This window comes from Homo sapiens, chromosome 4 (assembly GCF_000001405.40).
Source record: "Homo sapiens chromosome 4, GRCh38.p14 Primary Assembly".
NCBI lineage: Eukaryota > Metazoa > Chordata > Mammalia > Primates > Hominidae > Homo > Homo sapiens.
The window spans coordinates 5860547-5888025 of NC_000004.12; the positions used below are offsets into that span (position 1 = coordinate 5860547).

A 27479-nucleotide genomic window follows, 5' to 3' on the forward strand; every position below is an offset into this window, starting at 1 on the left:
GAGCCTCTATTCTCCCATCTGTCACAATAATACCTATGTCACTGGTTCTGAAACCATAGCCATCTTCACATCATGTTGAAGGATTTTTTTTTTTTTTGCTTTATCTCCCTATAATCCATGTCTTCTTTACTTAATACTTTTCTTTAAACAAATTTTGTTTCTAAAAATCTAAATGTGACTTCAGTCTCATGCTAAGCGATTATATCAATGAGATGTTGTTTTATTTCAATATTTTAAAAATAATTTTTTAAAATTGGTACCTATAAAACCGTATTGTTTATTAAGCCATCTTCTGTGGCCCCAGTGGCACACACGGTATGCTCTGTAAAACAGTGACCTGTGTCATAGGGCTGGGGGGAGAATGAAATCCAATGGCACCCTGGGCAGAGAGCCTCGAACACACTGAGCACTTGTGATGCTGGTGATGGGGAGGAGACCTCACAGTCTATGTCCCTAAGGCAGGGGACAGTGTCACTCACTGATCATCGTGGTCCCGCCCACCAGTGCCGCCCTGGTCCCTTGGAAGAAGTCATCAGCCGCAGTCATCCCCTGGGAGGGCTTCTGCAGGTACGTGTTGACATCAATACCTCCGGGAATAACCATCCGCCCGTTGGCTTCAATGGTCTTCACTCCACCAGGAACGATTAAGTTCTCTCCTATTTGTCTGGAGGCAAACAACAGAGACAGCCTTGGTTCTTAAAGGAAAAGTAGAATGGGCAGTCAACCCGCAGCTTCAGTTCCATGAAATAAACATTTCTGAGCCAGGCCCTTCACAAGGCCCTGGGGAGACAGAGATAACTCAGGCAGGGCACATGCCCTCAAGGGGCTCATAGTCTAATAGGACGTAAGACAGGTGGGCAGACTGTTAGAGCCCAGTATAGCAGAGATGATCGGGGGCACGAGGAGGGGCCCTTTCATCCAGTCTCATTATCTAAGAAGGCTTCCAGGTGGAGGGGGTGGCAGAGCTGAATCCAACAGAAGTGAGCCCAGCATGATGCATGTGCTGACCGTCATGTCTATTCTGATGTAACAGGTGCCTGAAAACTTCCTCCAGGAGGTTAAATTCCAAATGGGGAAGGAGGGAAAAGAGCCTACGAAATGAGAAACGAAGCCCCCGGGGATCTCCATGGGTGACTTATTGATGACGGTGGCTTCTGGTTTTTATTTGCTGGCACCAGAGTCAGGAGGTCCCTCAAGGCGCTGGGGGAAGAGGCTCAGCCAGAACCAGGAAAGGAACCCTGCAGCATCCAAGGTTAAGGTCTGGCTCAGACCATGAGATCTGACTGTGGGTGATTTTTATTCTAAAAAAAATCCAATTGTTGTGAACGCTTGAGATTGGGCAGCATATTAATTTTCTAAGTCACAAAAAACCCTAGTAATAAAGACACAGGAAGATGCTGCTTCAGTGACCAAAAGTGCAGCTCTAGACAGAATCCACAGCCAGGCAGCCAAGACAGCAGCCTCTGCCCTCCTGGGCTCCTGTGAGAAGCTGGGCCAGCAAGCAGGTCCCAGCTGGGGCTCCCCCAAAGAAGTGGGTGCCACACACTGTCCTCTTAACCCAGGAAATAAGCCTAGGACCGCATAGTGCCAGGGACAAGGTGGACACCCAGAAAATGTTACCACACATGTCCACCTCCACCAGGATCACCACCACCGCTGCTTTTAATAACCAATCCCTTATCCCCAGAATCTCCACTGCCGCTGCTTATACTAACCGATCCCTTACCCCCAGAATGTCCACTGCCATTGCTTATAATAACCAATCCCTTACCCCCAGAATGTCCACCGCCGCTGCTTATAACCAATCCCTTACCCCCAGAATGTCCACCACCACTACTAATAATAACACCAGAATGTCCAACTTGACTTAGGGAAATCCTTTCTTCCCCAGTCCTTCTGCCATCCTCTCCAAACGTGTGGGCTTGCCAAGAGCTGAAGGGAAAGGGGTTGGGAAGACACTCGACCCTTAACTTAAAAGGAACAGCAACTGGAGAACAGCGTCTTCTAAGCGCATCACGGCTTCTCTCATTGAAGGCTCACAACCAGCTCTAACAGAGGACAGGGTCGCACCCCAAATGCCATCTCAGGCAAAGGCCTGGGCACGGTCCAGGCAGAAGGGCCGCTGGCTGTAGACATGCACGTGGTGTGTCTACACATGGGCACGGACCTACACGTGAGTGTCAGCGGAATCACAGCTCAGTCTGATTCAAGCCTGTGACCGAGTCACCATTCAGTGGGGGCCAACAAGTACTCTAATGAGAGGTTCTTTTAATTATTTTGGAGATAGGGTCTCTGTCAGCCAGGCTGGAGTACAGTGGTACAGGTCATGGCTCACTGCAGCCTCAACTTGCTGGGCTCAAGCGATCCTCCCGCCTCAGCCTCTCAAGTAGCTGGAACTACACAGGCTTGCACCACCATGCCCAGGTAATTTTGTTTTTAAATTTTTTGTAGAGATGGGATCTCCCTATGTTGCCCAGGCTAATCTTGAACTCCTGAGCTCAAGGAGTCCTCCTGCCTTGGCTTCCCAAAGTGTGTGAACAAACATGCCTGACCTTTTTTCTTTTTTTCCTTTTTTTTTTTTTTTAAAGAAACAGGACATTTCCTGAACAGCCTGGTTGGCCAGAGTCCTAAGATGCTTGATGTTCAACAGTGAATGCCATCTCTGCAGCCAGAGGCTCTTTCTTACCAGGCACAATCATAGCCTCTTAACAAACTCTCTCTGGTCTCCCATCAGCAACCCTGCAAGGTAGGAGGTATTCTCATTTTGCAAAAGAGGACAGCACAACTCAGAGAGGTGTAGTGACTCCTCCAAGGCCACACAGCAAGTCAGTGATGGGCCCAGATTCAAGCCCAGGTCTCCCCAAGCCTAATATCAGAGCTCTGACCAGCAGGCTTTACTGCCGCCCTGCTTCCCTTATATAGGAGCCAGACTGTCCCTGAACAGGGATTGCACTAAACGGGACCCCCAGTGAATCAGAGGGACTCAGTGAATGGCGCTCAATAGCAATGTGCTGGAAAGGGAAGGAGGAGAGAGGAAGCTCAGCTCAGTGAATGAGACAGACGCCCCTCCCCCAACACCATCACCTCCCGGTGCAGAAGAAACTCTCAACCACCGGCACTAGATTCACCAAGGCTGAGTGAGTTAAATGGAAACCTCGATGAATCATAATTCAATGAATCACACAACAGCTGAACGGCTCTTAAGAAAACTTGGCAAATGGCCACAGAATTAAAGGATTCTTGGGGTTTCATTCAAGTGAAGGAAAGTAATTGTGCCTCTGTACCCGAGGTGGTCCCCGGCTCTTCCACACCTACCCTTCTCAGCCTGCAGGATGCACGTTCAGAATAAACACCCAAGGGCCCTGTGAGGCCTCAGTCACCGTCACTCACTCAGCTTCACAAGTCCGGAGTAGGACTGCCAACACGCAGAGAGCTTCTCAGCAACGGGTTCAAGTAAAAGGGGATTACAACCAAGAGGGGCTGACAGATAATGAATTTAGGGAAACTGCATTTTTCCTCAACAGCCTGGTTAGCCGGAGTCCTAGGACTCTTGATGTTGACACATAACAGCAGGCACTTAATGAATGCAGCTCAACCCATGGCCACTTGCTCCTTCTGTATACTCCGGGATTGCGGAGCTCTATAAGGGGGCCTGGCCCAGGAAGGACGGGGGTGGGTGTGGTCAGATCAAACTTCTAGCAGCAGGTGGTGTGTGGGATGGGGGAGCCCACGAGATCATTCTCAGGGTCATTTTACCTTTCAGGCTTCAGAAGCCCAGAGCCCCCACACAAAGGGGTGTTCCCTCAGAGTTGCTTTCTCTCTATCTAAGCCATGGTTGAGTTAGAAAACCTCATTTTTTGACACATCCTGACACCCTTCCCCACCCCCAATCTGCCTTCCTGACCATTCGGGATCCAGGTGCCCTGAGGCTGACAGGAGCATCCTCACCACCTGATGGCCAGCATTCATTTGTTTGCGCTTTCCCTGAATCGGTGCTCCAGGACCTACAGGTGCTGGGCCCCAGGGCGGGGGGCCACGAGGCAAGGCCCTGGTCAAGGAGCGATGCAGTGTGACAGTGGCTGCAACAGACAGCAGCTCACGTGCTGTGGGGACAGAGGGATGCACCCCACACCGTCTTGGGGTCAAGGAAGGCTTCCTGGAGGAGGAGTCGCATGAGCAGGGCCCACAAGGACAAATAAGAGATGAGGGGAAGGCAGAGGGACAGGGGAAAAGGTGTTCCAGGCAGGGGACTGATGGGTGCAAGGCTCTCAGGTGACAGCAGCCTGGCAAGTCCCGTGAGTCCCAAGTTTTCATTATGGCTGGAAGAGCAAGCAAGGAATGAAGCCAGAGGAGGGGAGGCCCGGGCTGGATTTGAAATGGTCAAAGTCTGGGACTAGAATTGGGGGGTGGGCTGGGGGGAGGCAGGGAGGGCTCAACTGTTCTGGGTATCCCTCTTCACTGGGTGATTTGCATATGTGGTCCCTTTCAATGCCCCCAATACTCCACAGCCCCTTTCCCCCAGCCTCCTCCTCCTCCTCCATCATCATCTCCAAAGCCCACACGGGCCCCAGGATGATCCTGTTAACAGTATCAATCCCTTTCTGCCTTCCCCTTGCTCCAATTCCCCTCTGCCTTTCCTTCTTGTGCCAGCCACTCATGCTGGATCCTTAAACAGTGTCCTTCTCTTCTCTTCCAGATTTCAAGGGAAGAGGCTGAGCACCCAGCAAATCCAGGTTACAACTCACAGAAAGAGAACTGCCCTGATCCTCACCCGCCAGTAAAATGTTAAGGCCAGCCAGGCGCGATGGCTCACACCTGTAATCCCAGCACTTTGGGAGGCCGAGGCGAGCGGATCACGAGGTCAGGAGATCGAGACCATCCTGGCCAACATGGTGAAACCCCCGTCTCTACTAAAATGCAAAAAAGTAGCGGGGCATGGTGATGCATGCCTGTAGTCCTAGCTACTCGGGAGGCTGAGGCAGGGGAGTCGATTGAACCCGGGAAGTGGAGGTTGCAGTGAGCCGAGATTGTGCCACTGCACTCCAGCCTGGTGACAGAGTGAGACTCCGTCTCAAAAAAAAAAAAAAAAAAGAAGGCCGCCGCCTACAGACCCCTGCCTGGCGTTATGGACTGAATTGTATCTCCCAAAATTCATGTTGAAGCCCCAGCCCACCCCATGGGACTACCTTTAGCGACAGGGCCTTTAAGGAGGTGATTAAGGTTGTTAAGGTTGAATGAGGCCACAGGAGTGGGGCTGGAATCCAACAAAACTGGTGACCTTAGAAGAAGAGACCCCAGGAGTGTGCACACACACACACAGAAAGGGCCCTGTGAGGACAGCCAGAAGGTGGTGTCTGCAAGCCAGAAGGTGGTGTCTGCAAGCCAAGGAAGAACCTCAGGAAGAAGTTCAGGAAGGCCTCAGGAAGAACCAACCCTGACGGCAGCTTGATCCGGGACTTCCAGCCTCCAGAACTATGAGAAATAAACTTCTGCTGTTTAAGCCACCCAGCCTGTGGCATTCCATTCCGGCAGCCAGCGCTGGCTAAGACACCTGGGTTGTCATAAGCAGGGCTGAAGAGGGAGCCAATGAGAAGAAAGGGAAGGAAACTCCAGCCCCAATGTCTATCTTTTCTTTAAGTGCCAAGGCTGGGCTTGGAAGCCACACATTCCTCCTTCCTCTCTGCTCTCCTCAACCCAATTCCAGAAACTGTGGGTAGGTGGAAGAAAGAGCTGTGAATTCAGTTGTCTCAGGGTGGAATCCGGGCCTTGACCCTAACTCACCCCGTCATATGGGGCCAGGTACCCAGACTCATTGGCCTGCCGCCTCCAAAACCACAAAACAGGAAACGTGTCTGCATTTTGCAGCCTTTGTGTGAGCATTGCAAGAGAGGAGCTGCCTCAGCCGTGTGGCAGGGAGCCTAGCCCGGGGGGGCACCCAAGAAATGCCAGCCCCTTCTCCACCCGCAGTGTGCACCTCCCCCAACCTCTGTGAGGTCTCTACCCCTGAAACACAGGTACACAGCCCCGTCATTCTAGGACAGAATGCCAGCCTTCTGTTCCATCTAAGGCCAGGCAGCCTGGCGACACAGGTTTCTTAAAAGGTCCGTTTTGATCAACCCACTTGATAAGTCCATCCTCCAGGTAGACGTCAGCATAAAGGGATTGGTCATCGTTGATGATCCGTCCACCTTTGATGAGGAGTCGGTCACTCTGCAAAGCAAGGCAAAGTATTAAGGATCCTTGGTGAAAAGCCAGGATAAAGTTTTTTCTTTTTAATTTTTAATATAAGAATTATCAAATATTTTCAAAAGTAAAGGCATTTAACTTCCCCCGCCCCAGATCCATCACCAGCTTCAATACTTCTCTATCCAATACTTCCTATTCTCCTTTCACCTTTCTCCCCTCTCACTTTGTTTTGTTTTTGCTGAGGTGTTTTAAAACAAAGCACAAGCACTGTATCTTTCCACCTATAAATACTTCACTAGATCTCTCTCACTGTTAACCCATTTCCCGTTTGCCCCGAGAAATGAGTATGGGCAGCAAGCTGCACTTTTTTTTCTAAACAGGAAAGGGGTAAGGACTTTTTAAAGAAACAAAACCAGAATCCATTATCCCAACGAACTCAATTAACTTAATACCTTGCTTATCAGTCAATAATCAGGCCCTCTTCAATGTGCCTTGATGGTCTCATAGACGTCTTTTTGTAGTTGGAAGGTTTGAACCAACAGCCATACCAGGCCCCACAGCACACCTGCCTCATCATCTCGGCAGCCTCTGTCAGCATCTGCACTGGCCCCTCCTCCCTTTTCAATGTCATTCGTTTGTTGAAGAAATTGGGTCATTTGTAGAACAGGGAGTTATCAAGGTATTATTAAATATGATAATGATCAACTTAGAGACATTTAAAAAGATAGTGAAGAGACTAAAAAAAGAAAACCCCATTTTTCCAGTACAACTCCCAGTTGACATTCTGATGTCTCCCCACTCTTTTTCCTGTTTTCTTCCCCCACAGTGCACACATCCACTCACTCATCCAAGCACCGATCAGCTACCGACTGATGCTCTCAGCTCCAGAGGGGACCAGGCACAGAGCTGGAATCTGCTTTCAGGGGGTTGACAGATGGAGAGACAGATGTTTATCAAGTCATGGGGTATGTGGGGTTGAGGAGGAGGAGAAAAGTGGGGACCTGCCATGGAAGCCAACCAAAGGGGCTGCCAACCTTATCTGGGGCATTGGGCAGAGAAAGCGCAGACCCAGAAAATAAGTCTAAAAAAGAGTCTATTTATACTTCCTATATCTACACTCTGTATGACTATAGATAGATAAATGGATGTGTCATTAGAGGAAGGTGGATAGATAAACACACACACACACACACACAGGATTGTATGAGTATGTCTACGTAAACATTCATGTATTCAGATGATGTTCTCCAAGGGATGTTTTCAATCCCTCAGCCTATCCTAAGGGCACAGACTAGGCTTTCAACCCTCTTCTATTTGTCAATACCATTCCAGAATGGAACTCAGCCACAAACATGTTTATGCATAAACATAAACAAAGCTTCACCATATGGAGTGTTCCGGGCAGAGGAAATGATATGCAAGTCAGAAACCAGAACATTATGGGAACCAAAAAGAACACAGTTCTGTCCTTTCTGCATTTTACCATAAGCACATCCCAACTTGCCGCACATTCTTCATGACTATATATCTATATATATATATATATATATATATATATATATATATATATACATAATTTTTTTTTTTGAGACGGAGTCTCACTCTGTCACCCAGGCTGGAGTGCAGTGGCACGATTTCAGCTTACTGCAACCTCCGCCTCCTGGGTTCACACCATTCTCCTGCCTCAGCCTCCTGAGTAGCTGGAACTACAGGTACCTGCCACCACACTTGGCTAATTTTTTGTATTTTTAGTAGAGACGGGGTTTCACCTTGTTAGCCAGGATGGTCTCAATCTCCCGACCTCATGATCTGCCTGCCTTGGCCTCCCAAAGTGCTGGGATTACAGGCGTGAGCCACCGCGCCTGGCCTCACTTCATGACTATACTTTTAAAATAATCACAAAATACTCCATCTTAGGGATACATAATAAATTGTTTAATATTTCCCCCATTGTTGGTTACTGAAGTGATTTTCTGTTTTGTACAGTGATACGTATTTTGCTGCAATGAACTTTTTTGTGCACAAAACTCCTTCCTTGGTTTGAATGATTTGTTAGGCAAAGTTCTCAGAAGCTTAACAACTGGGTCAAACAACATAAACCTTATTTACAGCCCTTGATAAAGATGACCAAACTGCTTTCCAAAAGGAATGCCCCATTCTTTGCACGAAAACACTAAGCACTCTTGTTTATTATTAATGTTTGTTAATTTGTGTTCCTTTTCTTTTTTCTTTTTTTCGAGACAGAGTCTTACTCTATCACCCAGGCTGGAGTGAAGTGGCATGATCATAGCTCACTGCATCCTCAAATTCCTGAGCTTAAGTGATCCTCCAGCCTCAGACTCCCGAATATTTGAGACTATAGGCAATGTGCCACCACACCTGGCTAATTTAAATTTTTTTTGTAGAGATGGGGTCTCAGTGTGTTGCCCAGACTGGTCTTGAGCCCCTGGCCTCAAGCAATCCTCCCTCCTCGGTTTCCCAAAGCACCGGGATTACAGGTGTGAGCCACCGTGCCTTGGCAATTTTCCACTTCTTGAAGGCTTGTAATTTTTTTCCATGTGCTTATTTTACCATTTGTATTCTCTCCAGGCTGGAGATGTGGTGACGAAGAAGACACAGTGTCTGCCCTGAAGCCCATCCCTTGGGTGGGGGAGAAAGAAGTAAACTGGGCCAGGTGTGGTGGCTTATGCCTGTAATCCCAGCACTTTGGGAGGCCGAGGCAGGTGGATCACGAGGTCAGGAGATCGAGACCATCCTGGCTAACACGGTGAAACGCCATCTCTACTAAAAATACAAAAAAAATTAGCCAGGTGTGGTGGCAGACGCCTGTAGTCCCAGCTACTCAGGAGGCTGAGGCAGGAGAATGTCATGAACCCGGAACGCAGAGCTTGCAGTGAGCCGAGATAGCGCCACTGCACTCCAGCCTGGGCAACAGAGCAAGACTCCGTCAAAAAAAAAAAAAAAAAAAAGAAAAAGAAAAGAAGTAAACTGACAAGAACAACCCACAGTAGGTGGTGCTCTGACATCAGAGCCTAACTCAAGAACCTGGAGGCAGGTGGTACATCTGGGAGGTGGTTCCAGGGTCTGGAGGGAGGGTATCCTGTTCAATAAATGAATCCAATAAAGAGGGCATATTGACCTGGCTAGCACTGTGGGCAACCAGAGCTTGATCTTGCCAAGGCCATCTGAGGAAGTGCACAGAAGGCACTTCAGTGGTCCCCTGGACCAGGTCCCATGGTCTTATGGCATCAGCCACAATGGCCCTGCAAGCCCAGAGAAGAAGAGTTTAACCCAAACTAAGGCATCAGAAACACATCATGCAGTCGGCTGCTCAAAGCTTCTTGCATCAGAATCATACTTCCCTCAGAGTGAAAGCCAAGGTCAGCGAGACCCCAGTTAATCTGGAGTCCCAGGTTCCTGGCAGTCTTCCTGCTCCTACTTGCTTTGGGCCCTGCTTGATGTTACTTATCTGAGTGCCCTCCGCTCGACTTCCCCTGTTTGGGACAACACACACCACCACCCTGCCAGCTGGCCCTACATCCCTTACCCGTTTATGTATTCACAGTATTTACGGCACATCTGGCAGGCTATGTATTTCTAGGTCTGTCTAAAATGTAACTTGCCACACTGGAATCACAGCTTTGGTGTGTTACCCCACTGGCAGTGCAGGACACAACTCCCCAGGGGACGCATGACACAGGCGTTGGTGGGGACGGCACTGCCTGGAGTTTGCACAGCACTTGTCTTTACTAGACCGTGAGCTCCACGGAGGCAACGGACTTTGTCCGTTTTCTTCACTGCTGTCTCTCCGGCATCTTGGACACAGCCTGGCTGGCTGCCTGGGTGACTGAACTGATTCTTGACAGATGAATGGGTGAAGATGGAGAGAAAGGCATCACAGCTGTGAGCCGAGGAAGACCAGTGTGAAGAGGCACATCCCGTTCTTCAGCAGGAGGGTCTCTGGAGGAAGATGTTTCAAGGTAAGTTGCTCCTAGGCCCCACAACCTATCTGTACCGCTAAAAAAGATGTGTGCATCCCCAGAGAGGAAACTCACCAAGCCTCTTGACGGCAATCCGGGACCAATGGGAAAAAGAGGCCCAGGCTCTGCACGTCCAGGAAGCACCCACAAGCTGGCGTGCATGTTTCCCCGGCTCCAGAACAGGAAACATAAGTCACCAGCAGCTGGTGCATGGCTTCCGGAACACGGCCGCCCCGCAGGCACCCGTCTGTCTTGTCACTATTAATAGGGGGCTTTTCGGGCTCAGCCCGAAAGGTGGTATTTTAATGCACTGTGTGCCAGAAGATTGGCCCAACCTGCTATGCTTTTCCTAGAATCAGATGGTGGAGCTCATGTTCAAATCCACTCCCTCCCCAACTACCAATAGACACTGCAAGCAGGGGCGCCCAGGCTCCAAGCCCTTAGTGTCTCTCAGGTGCTGGTCTACTTCTGAAAAAATAAGCCCACAGGAAGCCAAGCACTGATTCAACCTCTTCATGTTCTTTCTTAAAATTAGTAGTTCCTTTGCCTCTTAAACAGGCATTTTCAAAGCCATGTGCTTCAGAACTCAAGCTCAGAGAGATTTTAGTAGGTACAGGCCCAGACAGGGGTTACCCGGTGCCGTGAGTTTAGAAATCTCTAGGTTAAGGCTGGGTGCGGTGGCTCACACCTGTAATCCCAGCACTTTGGGAGGCTGAGGTGGGCGGATCACGAGGTCAGGAGATCAAGACCATCCTGGCTAACATGGTGAAACCCCGTCTGTACTAAAAATACAAAAAATTAGCCGGGCGTGGTGGCGCACGCCTGTGGTCCCAGCTACTCAGGAGGCTGAGGCAGGAGAATGGCATGAACAAGGGAGAAGGAGGTTGCAGTGAGCCGAGATCGCACCACTGCACTCCAGCCTGGGCAACAGAGTGAGATTCCCCGCTCCCCGCCCACCAAAAAAAAGAAAAAAAAAGAAATCTCTGGGTTAAGCAGAAGCAATGATGTCTTTATGACAGAACTTTTCAGATCCTTGCCTCTGCTGATATTTGATACGAATACTCAAGAGGAGAATTGAGTTGATATCTTTTCCAAACTCAGGTCCCTTTGTGGTGTGGAAAATCTGAAGGGATACTTTCCCACAGAAGAGACCGTAGGAAATGGGCTTTGAAGTTACGTGCTTTGTGACCATTTGCACAGAATGGTCCGTGTGGAATGTTAGGTCTGATCCCACCTCGCAGGGAAATGAGGTCCACGAACAGGTGTGACCTCCAGGTTCACACAACCAGTAAGGATGCAGGCTAGAGCCAAGGGTTCCTAATGGCCTGTCCAGCATTCCAGCCACCAAGCCATGCTTCTGTCCCATGTTTAAACATTCCCAAACTCTAGAATCCATGACACCTCATAAGAAGATAGAACTTAGAACCCTCCCCCACCCAAGTAATAAGATCAACGGGCCTTGCCTTCTAAGGCTGCCTTTCTCATGCAGGAAATATGAGTGCACAGAACTGTATACTAAAAAAGTAAATGTTACATAATATATGTTTTTAAAATTAATAACACCAAATTCACATATTTATAAAAAAAAATAATACCGGTGCCGTCTATTGCCTCTCACGGGGTTACTGTGAGGGGAAAACAGCAGATGTGAACAATGGTACGCTCTGCACAAACATTATTATGTATAACCTAGGCCAGGTGCGGTGGCTCACGCCTGTAATCCCAGCACTTTGGGAGGCCGAGGTTGGCGGATCACCTGAGGTTAGGAGTTTGAGACCAGCCTGGCCAACATGGTGAAACCCCGTCTCTACTAAAAATGCAAAAATTAGTTGGGCGTGGTGGCAGGCACCTGTAATCCCAGCTACTCGGGAGGCTGAGGCAGGAGAATCACTTGAACCCAGGAGGCGGAGGTTGCAGTGAGCTGAGATCGCACCGCTGCAGTCCAGCCTGGGCAACAGAGCGAGACTCCATCTCAAAAAACAATTATTATGTATAAACCTTGAAGAAATAAAGCATCTCATGAAAAACTCAGCCAAAGTCTAACAGCTGAATTGATTAGCTAGGGCATGTCAGAGATACAGTTCGTTCCACAGCGACAGCAATGACCTTTAGAGCAAATCATGTTCTTGTGTCAGCACCACTTAAAAGCAAAACGTCCACACTCAGACAGAGGTGGGCTTGGATCCTGACTTCACTTATTATCCATGTGACTTACCGAGCCTCAGTTTCCTTGTCTATGAGATGGGGATAATTGGCTCTGCGTCCTAGGCATGTATTTGAAGTGCTTACTCAGCCCAGGCCTGGCAGGTGAAGAGCTCATTGTTCATTCTCTGCCATTTTCTGTGGCTAGAACTCCACTCTATAAATCATTGTTTAAGGATGGGTGTAAGCAGCTTAAATGCAGCTTGTGCCCTCAAGGGGTGCTCAGGCCAGTGAGGGAGGCTAAGTCAACAGCTGGCCTTTGCTGCCAGTGTGGGAAATGCAGAGGGCCACAGAGCATGGAGGCAGCCTCCACATCAACCCTGCTAAGGGGAAAAGCATTCCCTCTAAGCTTAGAGGATGAGTAGGTATTAGCCACACAGCAAAGGCGAAAAGGGATCCTGAGAGAGGGAAGCACACGGTGTATTAGTCCATCCTCACAATGCCATAAAGAAATGCCTGAGACTGGGTAATTTGTGAAGAAAAGAAAAGAGGTTTAATTGGCTCATGATTCTGCAGGCTGTACAGGAAGCATGATGCTGGCATCTGCTTGGCTTCTGGGGAGGCCTCAGGAAACTTACAATCATGGCTGAAGGCAAAGTGGGGGGTGGGGGGTGAGCACCTCACAGGAAGAAGAGAGAGAGTGGGGAGGTACCAGAATTTTAAATAACCAGATCTCCTCAGAACTCACTCACTATCACAAGAACAGCACCAAAGGGGGAAATCCGCCCCAGTGATTCAATCACCTCCCTCCAGACCCCACCTCCAATACTGGGCACTACAATTCAACTTGAGATTTGGGTGGGGACAGAGATCCAGACCATATTCCATGGGGAAAGACACAGAGGTCAGAAGCAGCCTGGCATGCCTGGGGATCTGTAAGTGGTCTTCTTTGGCTGAAGGGTGACCTCAAAGTGGGGAATCTGGAAAGGACTGCAGAAGCCAGATCTCAGGGACCCCAGTGCCATGTGTAAAGGGGAGTCTGGGCTCTGTGGTGAAGGTCATGGAGGGGTTTTCATCAGGGAGGAACCGGAAGATAGAAACATTTCCAAGCTAAGACATCACATGAGCGCTGGGTGGAAATGGAAGAAGGGGAAGGAATCGTCTTTATCTTCTCCTCAAAGCTGGGATTCCTCAGTAAGAATGTGTAGCAGGCAAGTTTGCAACAGGTATCAAAGGCCTTAACAATGTTCATGTCCTTTGACCCATAAATTTAGTGCTGGGAATTTGTCCTCTAGAAAATATCCAAAACAGGGTCACAAAATGATACACAAAGATGCGATCCAGAATTAATTACAATGGTATAACCACACCAATAATGAAGTATCATTCAGCTACTACAGCTACTCAAATATCTTCCAGGAAGTTTTAAGCACGAACAAAAGTGCTAGATAATAAAATGTGAGGAGAAAAAGCAAACTACAAAATTCTTTGTTAGGAATTCAAAATGAAGTGGATCTGGAGTCATTGGCTTCCCCTACGGAGACTTTGGGGTCCACACCCATGATCTAACCGCCAGTATAATGCACAGCTGTCTCCCAATGCACAACCTTCCCCCAATGGTCACAGTTCATGTGCCCATCTCTCATTGAGCTGGATACCCCTTCATGGCCAGGGGAGTTCTGCGTATTTCATCTCTATATCCTCAGGAACCAGCCAGGACCCTTACACAGTATTTAGCAGATGTTTGCTGGGCAGGAGGGGAAGAGGGAGGCAACAGACAAGAGGCAAGGAGAGACAGAGAAAGAAGAAAGAGAACGTTTGAAAAGAGAGAGGGAGTGCAAAGGAGAGAAAAGGAAGAAGAGATAAAAGAAGGATAAAGAGGAAAGGAAAGATGGAAGGAGGAGGAAAGAAAGGAGAGAAGAGAGAAACAAAGGGAGAAAAGAATACATGGACACATAATAAATCTCTCTTTTCTGCTTTTCAAATTCCTGAAAACCTAACCCCACTAGCTGAGAGAGAAGCCTGGCAAGTGCAAAGCCTGCACGCTACAGATGCTGCAGGAAGGCGTCCTCGCGAAGACTCTACCAAAACCCTGCTGGGCTGCATTCCTGTCTCTACTGCCAAATGTCTCATGAGTCAGAGGAGCAGCCAGGCAAGAGAAAGGGATTCTTCTCCAAACCTACTGTCATCTCCCATCCAGCCCCCACTGGGAGGAGACAGCTGACATTGGCAGGACGCTTTTGTTCTTTTTCACAAACATTAAGCATTAGGTTGAGCTCTGCTTACAAAAACTAGCCTTTAAAGCTTCAGGCATTTTTATCCACAGAACAAAAAAAACAAACAGCAGCAACCACAGTCAGCCTCAGCTCAGAGGGGAGGTTCTGGATGACAGTGAATGTTCTGCATCACTGTCTATTCCTGAGTGAGGCATTAAACCTCCCCGGGTTCTGTTCTCCCTCCTGCATGGTGGGAATAAATCTGTCATCTCCACCATGAAGGTGGATGTCAGAAGGCATACAAAATCTATTAAGGTCTAGATTTTAGAAAAAAAAAAAAAAAAAAGAGATGGGATGCTATTCTTATCCAATCAACCTCTATCCAAAAATCACTGGTTTAGCAACCTTGGCTATCTGAAAAATAGCAGAGAACCAAAGCTGTTATTACGGTGACAGAGAAAAGACTGTGACTATGTCATCAAGGAGGGGAAATTTGAGCTGAGTTCCACAATATAAATAGGAGTTCAGAAGTCTAGAAAAATTGGGAGAGGAGAAGGGAAACATTCCAGCCAAATAAACATTAGATACAGAGACACGGTCTTCTGAAAGTTCCAGGTACTGTGGGTAGGTGAGGAACAGGTGGGGGTTGGTGCTGTCCGCGGTCCTGAATTGACATGGACACAGAGACCGTGAGTTTTCTCCAAACCCTGATGCTGAAGACCCCTCAGCCCCCTACCACATCCAACCTTATAGTTTCTTACTGCTTTTCTTTCTCAGCTTCTTAAAAAAAGTCTTGTTTCAGCCAGGCGCGGTGGCTCACACCTGTAATCCCAGCACTTTGGGAGGCCGAAGCGGGTGGATCATGAGGTCAGGAGATCAAGACCATCCTGGCTAACACAGTGAAACCCCGTCTCTACTAAAAAATACAAAAAATTAGCCGAGCATGGTGGCAGGCGCCTGTAGTCCCAGCTACTTGGGAGGCTGAGGCAGGAAAATGGCATGAGCCCGGGAGGCAAAGCTTGCAGTGAGCCGAGATCACGTCACTGCACTCTAGCCTGGGTGACAGAGTGAGACTCCATCTCAAAAAAAAAAAAAAGTTTTGTTTCAAAACTTCTTCTTTTGGCCTTGCAGAGTCAAAATAATCATGACTTATGTTTCCGAGTGGACATAGTTGGCAAGTACATTTCAGTGTTGGTAGATGAAGACCTTACACTACTTCCAATACTTAATTCTCCCACCCCAGGAAGTTGGGGTGAGGGCAAGCAACTCCCATGGCCCCCACTAGAGCAGTCATTGCAATCACGAAGAGGTGGGTGTCAACATAGGGTCTCAGAGGCCACGCAAATTCAGATGAGGTTACCTGATTCCTCAGTGGGAAGGGCAGGAAAGCTCAGGGTAACTAACTGACCAGTCTCTTCTGGAAAGATGAAGAAACCCTTTCTTTCCAAAGAGCAAGCAGGGAAATGAGCCTCAAAAAGATCAAGGGAGCCCATTTTGTAGAAATGTGCTTATCCAAGCATTGAATGCAGGGGGAACTGCTTTCTTTTAGAACAAAGGAAATGTCAAGGTGGGTTTTGAAAGTTTTTAGTCCTTTAAAGGCCACATACTCATGATGTTGAAGCTGATATTCGCAATTCAAAACTTCAAGATGATCGGTAGGCATATCCCCCCACCACCCCCCTTCTGAAAACTGATAGCACGACAGCATGGCCCAGCTGGTCCTCAGAATGCCCTGGAATTGCCTGCTAAAAATTCCCATCGGGGCTTTTATCAAGATATTCATTCACCAGATCTAGATTACAAGCCAGGAATTTATATTATTAACAAACATCCCCAGATAATTTCAACACAGACCCTCTGTGGCAAGTCCTCACCATGCCCCAAAGTGGGTGCAGTGCAGCCGCCTGCCCCACTGACTGTGGGTGTTCTGCCCATGTGACCTGCTTTGGCTGGGAGTGCACCAGTCTGAGCACAAGCTTTAAGGGGCAGATGGGTTCAGCTTTCCCTGACAGTCCACCTCCTGCCATGAAAACCACAGGACCCAAGGAGTGGCAGCCCCAGAATGAGAGGATTTGAGGAGCACACCTGACCCCAACAGAAGACTGAAGACAAATTGAGTTGAGCCCTGCTAAGCATCTACCACCCACAAACCTATTGCCATAAATAAATATTGGTTGCTGTAAGGCACAGAGTCTAGAGGGGGTGTTTGTTAGGCAGCATCATCGCATCAAAGCAAATTAATACATCGTAAAGGTTCTGTGCTGGGAGCCACAGGGGTTGCTGCATAAGAGGTTTTATAGCTCAAATACGTCAAACTTCCATGACTTGGTCCCTACCTTGAATAACCAGAGCCTTCCCCTTGAGCAAGCTCCCCACTCTGGCCTCCTTGCAACGGCAAGTGCTGCCATCCCATCCAGCTGCACACTCATATTTATTCACAGAAACCATCCATTTGCCTTTGATTTTGCCTCCGGGGACGACAGCCTGTCAGCCAGTGGCCCTTTGCCACACTATCCAGGAATGCAACCCACGAAGTGGCAACCGGTATGAGCCTGAATCTAATTAACACACATTCGTTCCCCCTCTCACGGGTAGGGGACAGGGCGGCTTTCCCCCTTTCATGAATGGGAGATACAGGTAGTCCCCATGGACTGCAGGACTTTTTTTCCCCCCGATATTATGCCTGTTTCCATGACAACTGCAGTTATAAGTGCACAATTTCAGGTCCCACTGTACCAGCAGACTTTCAGGGAGCACTCCCTGATGGACTGAATATCTGATTTTAAAACAGCACACCTCTGTCACAACCCTAAGAGTGGGCAGGGCCTGCACGCTGCATAGGGAAAGACGATGCTAGCTGCATGTGTGATCGGTAACTTGACCCATTTCTCTGTGTTCTGGTCTGTGCTTCTTGCTTTATAGAAAGAAATCCGAACAGAACTCCTTTGCCTTAAGAAGTGCACATTCCTTGAGCTCATATTAAGGATCAGTTCTGCATTACATGGGTTTTCATTTTTAATTCTTAAATCACCTTAAAAGTGGGAATAAGTATGACAAGTGAGGAAACTCAGAAGTAATTTGCTCAAGGTCACACAGCCAAGAGATGGTACAGCAGCTAGGATTTGAACCGAATTCCACCTGGCACCTATACAGAGACCACCCCACTGCCTCTCGGTGGTGAGACTAGTACAGTGTTCTCTTCAGTGTACCTAGTTGATACATCTGAGCCTCAGTTCCCCACTCTGTAAAATAGGGACAGGCAGTGATAGACTACACTTATCTGCTCAGTGTTTATCAAGTACATACCCCAGGCCTTGCACCTCACCTGCCCTCTTGACACGATTATCGTGAATGTGGTCAAAAGTGGTTAAGGCAGATTAAAGGCCTCGGAAAACTGCAAAAGGCTTTCTAGGGGAAATACATTACATGCAGAGACCTGTCATCTAATAAACATTGCCAATGCCTCCTGGGAGCCAGGTGCTTATATTTACTCTCTCATTACATGCTCATTTAACAAAGAGGCGATGTTTGGATATGAATGCAGAGGCCAGACTGCACCTAACGATATGGGTGCAGAGGGCAGACTACCTAGGCTCTAACGTGGCCCCACACCTCCAAACTCTGTCACATGGGTGAGTTCACCTCTCTGTGCTTCTGTTTCTCATCAAATGCAGAGGAAAATTTTGAATGTGAAATGAATTAACCCACGGATAGCACTTCGCACAGTGCCTTATTTTTTTTTTTAATCCTTGCAACGTGGGGTAACATCTCATTAAAATGCTCAGTTCCATTTTCAGCTTATCTCTCATCTGTCCCACCTCAAACCTAACTCTTTTTTAGATCTTGTTGCATCTACTCTGGAACTGTTCTAATACCTACCTGCTGACTTTCACCTCCCAATGCACCTGCCCCAGATAAGCCCTCACCCCATCTCCCTGCCACAGAACTTGTCCACTCCATATGACAGGCAGAGTGACCTTTCTGAAATGCAAATCCAACCATGCCTCGCTTCTCCTCAAAATCCTTCACCAGCTTGTCCTCATCTGTAGGACAAAGCTCACCTCCTAGGCTCTTCCCGGCCTGAGCCCGGCCCTCTCTCGGCCGCGCCCCACCACATCTATCTACGCACACCACGCTCTGCCTCCCTAACTGCACCTTCACAACCTGTGCCTTCCTCTATGGCCTCCCTGCAGCATGCATCTCTGGCCACATCTGCTCTGCTCATTGCTTTCCAACTCCTTAGTCACGTGCAGTGTCTTGAGTCCAGGATCACAAGGTCACTCCTTGGAGTTCCCACAACATGAGGCTTGCATCTCTGGTCCAGCATTTGTTCATGACACTCATTTTCCAGCTCATTGTAATATATCTTATTTCCCCCATGAGACTGAAATCCTTGGCACCAGAGATGGCAGCTTATTCCCACATAGCTTCTTAGCGGGGTGATCTTTGGCAAGATACTTAATCTCTGTTGGCTTCAGTTTCCTCATCTATAAATGGAACCCATCAAAATACCTACCTCACAAGATTACTTGAAATAATATGTAAAAGCACCCAATACACTGAACACTGTCCTATGAAGTTTAACATTCTATGCCAAATGCTCTAACATTCTATGCCAAATGTTCATGCATTTGAGGATGCAGGAAAAAGCTTCAATTGCTTTTATCAGCTTCTCAGAGGAGTTGATGGCCTTAGGAAGCCTTTAAACTCGTTTAAGAGGTTCCCAGTAATTAAAGTTTTATTTGGATTCCTTTTTATTCTGCATGTTCAGAAATAAAATATAGCAAAAAAAAAAATGAGACGAAAGGAAAGGAAAATGAAAGAAAGTAAAGGAAAACCTAACACCGTATGCGGAAATCATGATAGAGGAGGAATAAAGAATTGGAGTGGTTTTGGAAAAGAGAAGGTCCTAAGTAATGGAGAAACATCTTCCAGTGCCTCTAGGAATAGCAGTGTGGAAGAAGAAACTTGGGGAGACTCTTGAGAACAAAAGTAAGGCACAAGGCAGAATCCCACTCTACATAAAGAAGAGCCTTCCAACAACAGAGCTGTACAAGAGTAAAGCAGGTTGCCATGTAAAGTGGTGATCTCCCTGTCATTGGAGGTATGCAGAGAACATACTGGGAATTTCTGCACTGAGGGGAGAATGGTGGGGGCAGGGGAGAAGCAGTAGACAGACACTTTTTCCTTCCTCCTTAATTGTACAACATAAAATTTTACATAATTTAAAAGTTCGATTCAACGTTGAGGTTATAGAAATCAAACATTTGCTGAGATTTTATTAGACCTTAAGCCCTAAGGGTCTATGGATATGGTATGATTTAAAAATACATGGCAACATAATTTGGGGGCAGGTTCAAAATTTCCTCAAATAGCCACCTTTTTGCTGTATGTAATTCTGCATCAGATCCAATGAGTCTTCCCATGGAATTGACTCCAAGTTCCAACACCAGGTCATTATTTACTCAAGGCCCTGGGCAGAGCACAAGATGTGCAATGTGACGATCCCACTTGTGTGTAAAAAGTACCTTTTGCAAAAGCTTCCCATTCCATGTGAAATGCAGCGAAGCCCATTACTAAACCAGATCTGCCCTCTCCCCATTGTCAAAGCACCACTTCAGGGGCCCCCACACCTTCTTTTCGCTTTGAGCTCCAAAACTCCTCATGCCACCTTCATCTCATTCTGCATAGTAACTACCTTCATGTTAAATCCACAGACAGTGCCTTGTTAAGGAAGACTAAATGCAGCTGTGGCTGAAACCTCACTCAGCAAGGAAGTCCACAATCTTGCTCCCATTCACTCACTCACACAGTGTGGCATCCCCACTGTGAATCCCCAGTGTTCCTGAAGGGCTCCTGAGGAGAATCAGACAATTTCCCAGTCTTCCAAGTATCCATGGTCAAGCGGAGCAGATGGACATGAGCAACAAGCCAAAGTTACTGAAATTGAAGTGCTCACCACCCCCAGCCCAGGAGGAGGAATCCTTTATAGAGAATGGACACAGCTGATACAAAGGCAGAGGGCCACACATGGTGTGCCAGGTCAAGGCGAATGCTCTGGATGCCTGGGACACAGGCCCAAGGAAGGAGTGGGGAACTACAACCTCATATATCCACAAACATTGCTTTCTTCCTTTTAGCTGCTTGCTCTTGTTTTCTAGACAACTTCTCTATGAAGCATCCAAGATCCCACTCCACTTCCCAAACTACCAACACCAATTCAGAGTTGTTTCTTCTCAGAGCAAAGCTATGATTTGGTCATTACAGCTCTCTAGGGCAATGGTTCTCAACCTTACTGTACTCAGGACATACTTTCAAATCATATAAAATTTTGCAGCATTCTTGAAGGATTAAAGACCTAAAATTACACCAGGTAAGTCTGCAACCATCACCATGCCCTCCCACTGCAGTGTGACTGTAGCTGTCTTACAGGTCTATCATAGCTCTGATTGCACTTGGTTACCATTCAGCACCGTGGTGCTGTCCACTGCCCCGACCATGTTCTTTTATATGCTCTCACGGCAAAGTCCTCCGGTGTTCCTCTTCCATGGCAAGAGCTGACTTTTACTTACAGCAAATTAGACTCTATTCAACATCTCTCTGCTTGTGAATACTCAGGGCTCCACCTGAGAGATGCTACAATAATTTGTAGACTTGGTTGTAGCAAACATAAATTTTAAACGCTGATCAAAATTTAGCCACACATCGGCAGAGAATTTTTTTGAGTACACCACTGTGCTCACAGCACACAGGCTGAGAACCACTGGTTGTTGAAATAGCTTGCATTTTTCTGTCTTCTACCAATACCTTTTGTACATGGGCCCCTAATATCTATCTCTGTCCTTTGCCTCTCACCCTCATTCCAATCTATTCCTTATTGTCCATTGAGACACCTCAATTTCGAGCTTGCTACCAAATCCAATACAACCTAAGAACCAATGGTGGGATTTTTCTTCCAAACCCAATCGCTGTGCTTCCTGACCACCTCATTATCAGCTTCCACGGGTGTGTATTAGCATCTTTTACATGTCAGAACTTTCACATTCAATCCTCACATCTCCTCTAGAAAGACTGACTTTGTGCTTCTCTCCCACCGATTTAGAGCTTGATCATACAACTTGCTTTGGCCAGTACACTATCAGCAGATGTGAAATATGCTACATTTGAGTAGAAGTTCTTAAAGATATTTCAGGTTGCTGCCAATCTCTTGTGCTTTTCTTCTCCTTCAGCCTGGGTCTCAAAGTGAGGAGATGCACAGAGCAGACTCACTACCCACCAGTAAACAGGGGCAAAGTTACAGCCAACCCACAGCCCTCATGTAGCATGAGCAAAAAATAAGTGTATATTGTTGACACCTTGGGGTTGTATGCTATGGAGCAAAGCTAATACACCATCCCACGGTAATAATAATAAGAGCTAATCCACATTGCATTTAATATGTGCAGGCACTATTTTAAGCATCTTACACATATTAAGTCATTTAATTCTATGGGGAAAAAATCTTAGGAAATATCATTCTGATTTCCAAACATAAATCTGTACAGATAAAATTGATGCATAGAAAGAATAAGTGACTTGTCCAATTACATAGCTAGTAAGTAAAACAGCCAGGATTCAAAGCCAGATAGTCTGAGTTCAGAATCCACATTCCTACAAGCTGCTTTCATAATAACAGCATCTTACCTCAAGAACTTCCAGTGCCTTCCTATTAACCAAAGAAGAAGATCAGAGTGGCCTAGAACTTGGAACTGAATTATCTAATCCAACTCTCCCTGTCCAGAAAAGGAATCCGAGGCCCAGGGAGAGAAAGTGACTTGCTCAACATCAAATAACCCATTCATATCTAAGACACACTTAGAACCCACGTGTTATTTCCATCCCCTTGGGTGCATTCTCCCTGATTTCCAAAGCTTTATAGAATCCCCCCATAGCCCCACCCATTCACATGTATTTCCACTTCTGCGTCCTCTGATTCACCTGTGTGAAATATTCCACCCACCTTGCATGCCCTTCCCTTCCCTCAACCAATCAAGTCCCTCAACACCTGGCTGATGTCATCCTCCAAACCCCAAGAAGCCATCTCTTGTTGCTTCTGCCAGGGCTGAGTCATCTCTTCTCTGAATTCCTCTGACACCTGTGCCCTGTTCCGCAGCCTGCCTGCTTTCCTTCCTTCCTTCCTTCCTTCCTTCCTCCCTCCCTCCCTCCCTTCCTGTCTTTCTATCTTTCTCTTTCTTTCTTCTTTTTTGTTTGAGAGAGTCTCATTCTGTCGCCCAGGCTGAAGTGCAGTGGCATGATCTCAGCTCACTGCAACCTCTGCCTCCCAGGTTCAAGCAATTTCTCCTGCCTCAGCCTCCCGAATAGCTGGGATTACAGGTGCCCGCCACCATGCCTGGCTAATTTTTGTATTTTTAGTAGAGACAGGGTTTCACCATGTTGGCCAGGCTGGTCTCAAACTCTTGACCTTAAGTGATCTGCCCACCTTGGCCTCCCAAAGTGCTGGGATTACAGGCACCCTTTAGTCTTTCTTAAGTTGTTTTATGTGCATGCACTTTGTCACTTAGATGGCAAGATAATTAAGGTCAGGGACACACACACACACACACACACACATGCTTGCCCACCACACCTGCTGGTTAGCTACCATTCTGAATTTTCATTTCCTCAAAGACACAGCCTGAGTTTTCAGAACAGAGCTATGACCTGTTAGATATTTACTATGTGCCATGCACACTCATGTATGTTGTATTGTGTGTGCTCCATGTATTCAGTCTTGGCCATGTTTATTAGAAGAAATGGGCATTCACGGTTAAGGTGGTATAGTTACGTCACTTTCACTTTTATGTCCCCTCTGAGACATTTTTAAGAATTTGATTTAAACAAAATAATGTTTTCCCTAAAAATGGTCCACTTCTTCCTCTCTGATCATGACCTTGACATCATGGAGGGTGTTTGCTTCTCTGCCCTAGATGACAGATGCTCAGAGTCAGTAGTGGATGACTAATCATGGCCACTCCAGTGTCCTAATCACTGGCACATTTGTTCTGTCCTTCCTTGATCCTCAGTCCTGCTATTCGACTTCCATCTGATTTCACCATATGCATGACAAATCACTGTGGACATCTCAAATCCTTTGTGTAAAAAGGCAGGGAATCAACTGGATATCCATAGATAGGCTGAATGTCACCCTTGGGAAAAAGCATAATAGGCCTCACACATTTTTTGCATACTTGCAAATTAGAGCAACAAATCGAGCCTGATGTGATTTTTACTTGATCCTTCTTTCCTGATCATCTTCACTGTTTAATCAAACACACACACACACCCCCACACCCACACACAAACACATTTACACACCACAGACATACACTTACATTTACATACACACTGGCACTCACACACACAACTATGCATGCACACACACACACGGGCAGTGGTTTTCCTAGCACGCAGACCAGCCCACCTATCCTCCCTGCTTGAATGCAAGCTCTCCTTCCTCCACTGGCCAATGAAGAACCTTTACAAGCCTCTGAATCTCTCTGAGCCTCAGTTTACTCTTTGGGAAAGAGGGGTGATCTACCTAGGCTGCCTTTCTCACAGTTCTGTGCATAGAACTAGGTGAGAGATAATGGCAATTGTGCCGAATGCTTGGACTAGAGCAAAAACACATGTGATCGGTACTCATGAAGCTTCATTTTTAATAATACCCCGTCATCATCATGGTGGACACTCTTTACTCCTCTCACAACTGAGCAGGCCTCCCCACTTCGGTAGCTCTATTCAGAGCCAACAGCTTCTGCAGGGCTAGGAAGCCATGTGCCTTTGTTTGCTCAGAGCCACACCCAGGATGCTCTACTCACTGCAGTGGGCACAAGAAGCCGCTTCAGCTAAGTTAATCCCCAAGTGTGCCATTCATTAAAAAAAAAAAAAAAGACACGCATGAAAGAGAGCTTTATAAATATTTCACACAGTCCTTGGGGGCAGGAGCTAAGTGTTTCTGCTTTTTTGCTCTTCCGTCTCTAACCGGCTACTATATTGTCTCAGAAAAAGGCCAAGATGGAAAAAAGAGGAAGACACCACCATCATCGTCAACATGAGCAGAACGATCAGCCTCCTTGCCTTTGCCCATGCTGCGCCCCTGCCTGTGATGCCCCTTCACCTCCCCCACTCTAGCTCCCACCTCTCCAGGCTCTGAACTCATTGGCAAAGCTACACCCTTATCCCCACTGTGCAGATGAGACAGCTGAGGCTCAGAGGGGCACAGGATGACCCAGCAACAAGCAGGTGGGGACCTGGGGATGAAGCTGAGAGCTATGCCTGCTACACCAGCACTTCTTCCCATGAACCACACTTGATCCTTTCCAAGCCCCCAGGTCTCTCCACAGGCCACACACCATGGCTGTCAGAAACATCTCAACTGCCTTCATGATTTGATCTAACTGTGCAGCGGTTGCCCTGGGAAGCAGAGGGTGGGCTCTCCCGAGGCCGTCTTTCCTTCAGTTTCTCCAGCATGCCAACTCCTTTACCTCTGGGGCCCCATGGGCTCCACAAAGAACCCTGCTCTCCTCCTGTCCCCTCTGTCTCCCCTAGGACAAGGCTGAGTGTCCCTGCTGGGGTTTCTTCCGCCCCGCCGTATGATACCCTTAACACTTCACTAACACTTCAGGCTGAAATGTCAGCCTTGGCTAAGCTCTAGAAGGGCCAGGGCAAACCCATTCATCTCCTTCCCACTCTTCCTGGCACCCAGCACTGTGCTTGGTATGGCAGTCATTTGACAAGTTAATGCAAACCCACTAACAGCCAATGGGTTTGCCTTAACTTGTCAAATGACTACTATGGAACACGTTAAGGTGCAGCCATTTGAAAAGCCACAGTGCTCACCCATTTGTTACATGGCATTTAAGGCAGGGATCTGGTTCCTGTCACAACACGTGTATGTGTGTTATTAGCAAAAGGTACTCAGGAAGATGAAAGGTCCTATACAGTGAAGCCCCATTCAAGTGGATCCTCTCTGATTTGCTGAAGGTTTTGATTTGTTTAAAACCACAAACGCTTCTGGCTGATGTGGGCCAAATGAACACAAATGATCCTCATCAAGGCCCTCTTTCCCAGGAACTAAGCATAACTTACAGCCTCTCTCCTTCCCATGCTCATTGAAACCACCTTTAGAGGCTGCTGGAACCACCCATTTGATTTCTCTTTACACACAAGTTGACTAATTGTTTCACAGGAAGAACTAAAGCAGCAAGACCTGTCGGCAGATCTGAAGCCCTTACCATGCACCTAGCACACTAAATGCTTTGGAGGGTCACCTAGGATGTTCAGGAGTCCTGTGAAGGGGCCTACATCGTACAGCAGAGCACTGAGGTTCAGAGAGGCATCAGACACCCAGCTCCATCGGCTGGAAAAGCCTAGGCATCTCCACTCCAGAGGGCAACAGGCAGTAGGCCTGGTGACCACTTCAGCTTAGCAGACTGGGACTGCACACTTTCAGAGGCAGCATCCCACAGACCTGCCTTGCAGGCCATCCTATTAAGTTTCCACCTTGGAGACTGGGGACCTGAGAGCAGCAGAGACCTTCTGTGGGCACACAGCCTCAAACCCAGAACTCCTGACTCCTGAGTCACTGCATCACCCCGACCCCATCACCTGCCTCAGTTCCCTTGGGAGGCAGGGTTAGAGGGTCCCAAGGCAGGGACTTGTTCAAATATCACCTGCCTTCTTCTCACATTGCCCAGGAGGAAGCAACCATATGTGTTCTAGTGATTCTTGACCAACTAGTGTTTACGAATGGGCCGCTTACACCTCTGCGTCTCAGAGGGCAGAGCTGAGAGACGGAGAAGAGGTGGTGCCCACCCTCTGGATGGGGGCTTGGCAGAGGCCTGCTGACAAGAGCTGAGGCTGGGCCCAGGAGGAATTTTCTAACTCAAGACTCAGCCCAGAGCTGGGGCGGATGCAGGACAGTGCAGGGGAGGCAGGGGGCCTGGGTTCCCTCCTGACCTTCCTGTGGTGGAAGCCCTCAGCCCATGCTCTAGCCTCAGGGAGCTTTACGTGGGTAATGCCACCCGCAAAGCCTTGCTGCCACCATTTAAAGAAACAGGCCTGCAATACACGGGACAGGCCACTGGCAGGTGAGTGCAAGTGTCAATACCTCCGCCTACCTAAGGCTGCCCTCTGGCAGGTGCCCTGCGACTGTCCAGGAGCCTGAATTTTGCATAAATGAGCAGGCTGGGTCTCCAGTAGTCAAACCTCTGGAGTCACCCTGGAGGATTCCACCACGCCCAGAATCCCGCCTCCCGGCCCCGGGCTGCTCCTGCATACATGGGCTCCAGTGGTCCGCATCCCTCAGGAACAGTCAGGCTCCACGCTGATGCCAGGCAGGAACTGGGGCGGAGGGCCAGCTCCTGACCGCTGCGCCCTCAGCTCCCCACCCCGAGACAAAGCGTAAAGACGGGGATTCCTTTGTTTCCGGCCACACCCAGGGACGCAGCCCGGCTGTTCTGCCTCCACCACCGTCCCCACCCTCTCGCGGCCCAGCGTCGGGAACATTAACCCTTCCCGGGCCGCAGCCGCCAGCGTCGCCCCATTAGGTTATTTTTAGCTGCGGGGAGGGGTGGACCGAGCTTCCATCATGGCGCTGTCCCTAGGTCCGGACTTCCACTCCATCAGTAAAGGCGGGGAGTGGGGAGCGCTGGATGATCTTTTTCCCTCCTCCAGCGGGGGAGGTACCGGGCTGTGGGGTGCATGGGCCGGACGGTGCGGGGGCCGAGCCAAGGAGGCTCAGCTCACCCTCCCACCCCCGCGCGAGGCCTGCGGGGAGGGGGTTCGGACCCCTGCCCCTCCCTCTTTTGTTCGGCTCCGCATCCTCCCTGTCCACGCCATCCTCTGGCACATCCCGTGGGGGGAGGGGGCGGCAAGCCCGCGGGGAGAGGGACTCCCGGCTCCAGCCCCGCCCCGC

At 48.3% G+C, this 27479-nt stretch overlaps 1 protein-coding gene across 6 annotated transcripts in view, besides 3 other annotated features; it reads right to left on the minus strand.

The window, feature by feature from the left end:
- CRMP1 (collapsin response mediator protein 1) overlaps positions 1-27479 on the minus strand; it is a 72323-nt gene that overhangs the window by 39783 nt on the left and 5061 nt on the right. For 4 of the 6 annotated variants that reach the window (NM_001014809.3, NM_001288661.2, XM_047449629.1 and 1 more), the window contains 2 exons: positions 6122-6210; positions 480-664 (listed from right to left, as the gene is read on the minus strand). In NM_001014809.3, coding sequence (NP_001014809.1) covers positions 480-664; positions 6122-6210 — 274 coding nt within the window. Of the gene's footprint in view, positions 1-479; positions 665-6121; positions 6211-6638; positions 6659-26842; positions 27268-27479 lie in introns of those variants that run through there. The other 2 variants (NM_001288662.1, XM_047449630.1) reach the window with 2 other exon arrangements.
- Positions 14197-14718: an enhancer, noted in NCBI's record as "NANOG hESC enhancer chr4:5876470-5876991 (GRCh37/hg19 assembly coordinates)". NCBI's record gives its function as "activates a minimal SCP1, AML or CMV promoter by ChIP-STARR-seq in naive H9 embryonic stem cells {active_cell/tissue: H9 hESC(naive)}" and the evidence as "EXISTENCE:reporter gene assay evidence [ECO:0000049][PMID:30033119]".
- Positions 26059-26586: an enhancer, noted in NCBI's record as "H3K4me1 hESC enhancer chr4:5888332-5888859 (GRCh37/hg19 assembly coordinates)". NCBI's record gives its function as "activates a minimal SCP1, AML or CMV promoter by ChIP-STARR-seq in primed H9 embryonic stem cells {active_cell/tissue: H9 hESC(primed)}" and the evidence as "EXISTENCE:reporter gene assay evidence [ECO:0000049][PMID:30033119]".
- Positions 26587-27113: an enhancer, noted in NCBI's record as "H3K4me1 hESC enhancer chr4:5888860-5889386 (GRCh37/hg19 assembly coordinates)". NCBI's record gives its function as "activates a minimal SCP1, AML or CMV promoter by ChIP-STARR-seq in primed H9 embryonic stem cells {active_cell/tissue: H9 hESC(primed)}" and the evidence as "EXISTENCE:reporter gene assay evidence [ECO:0000049][PMID:30033119]".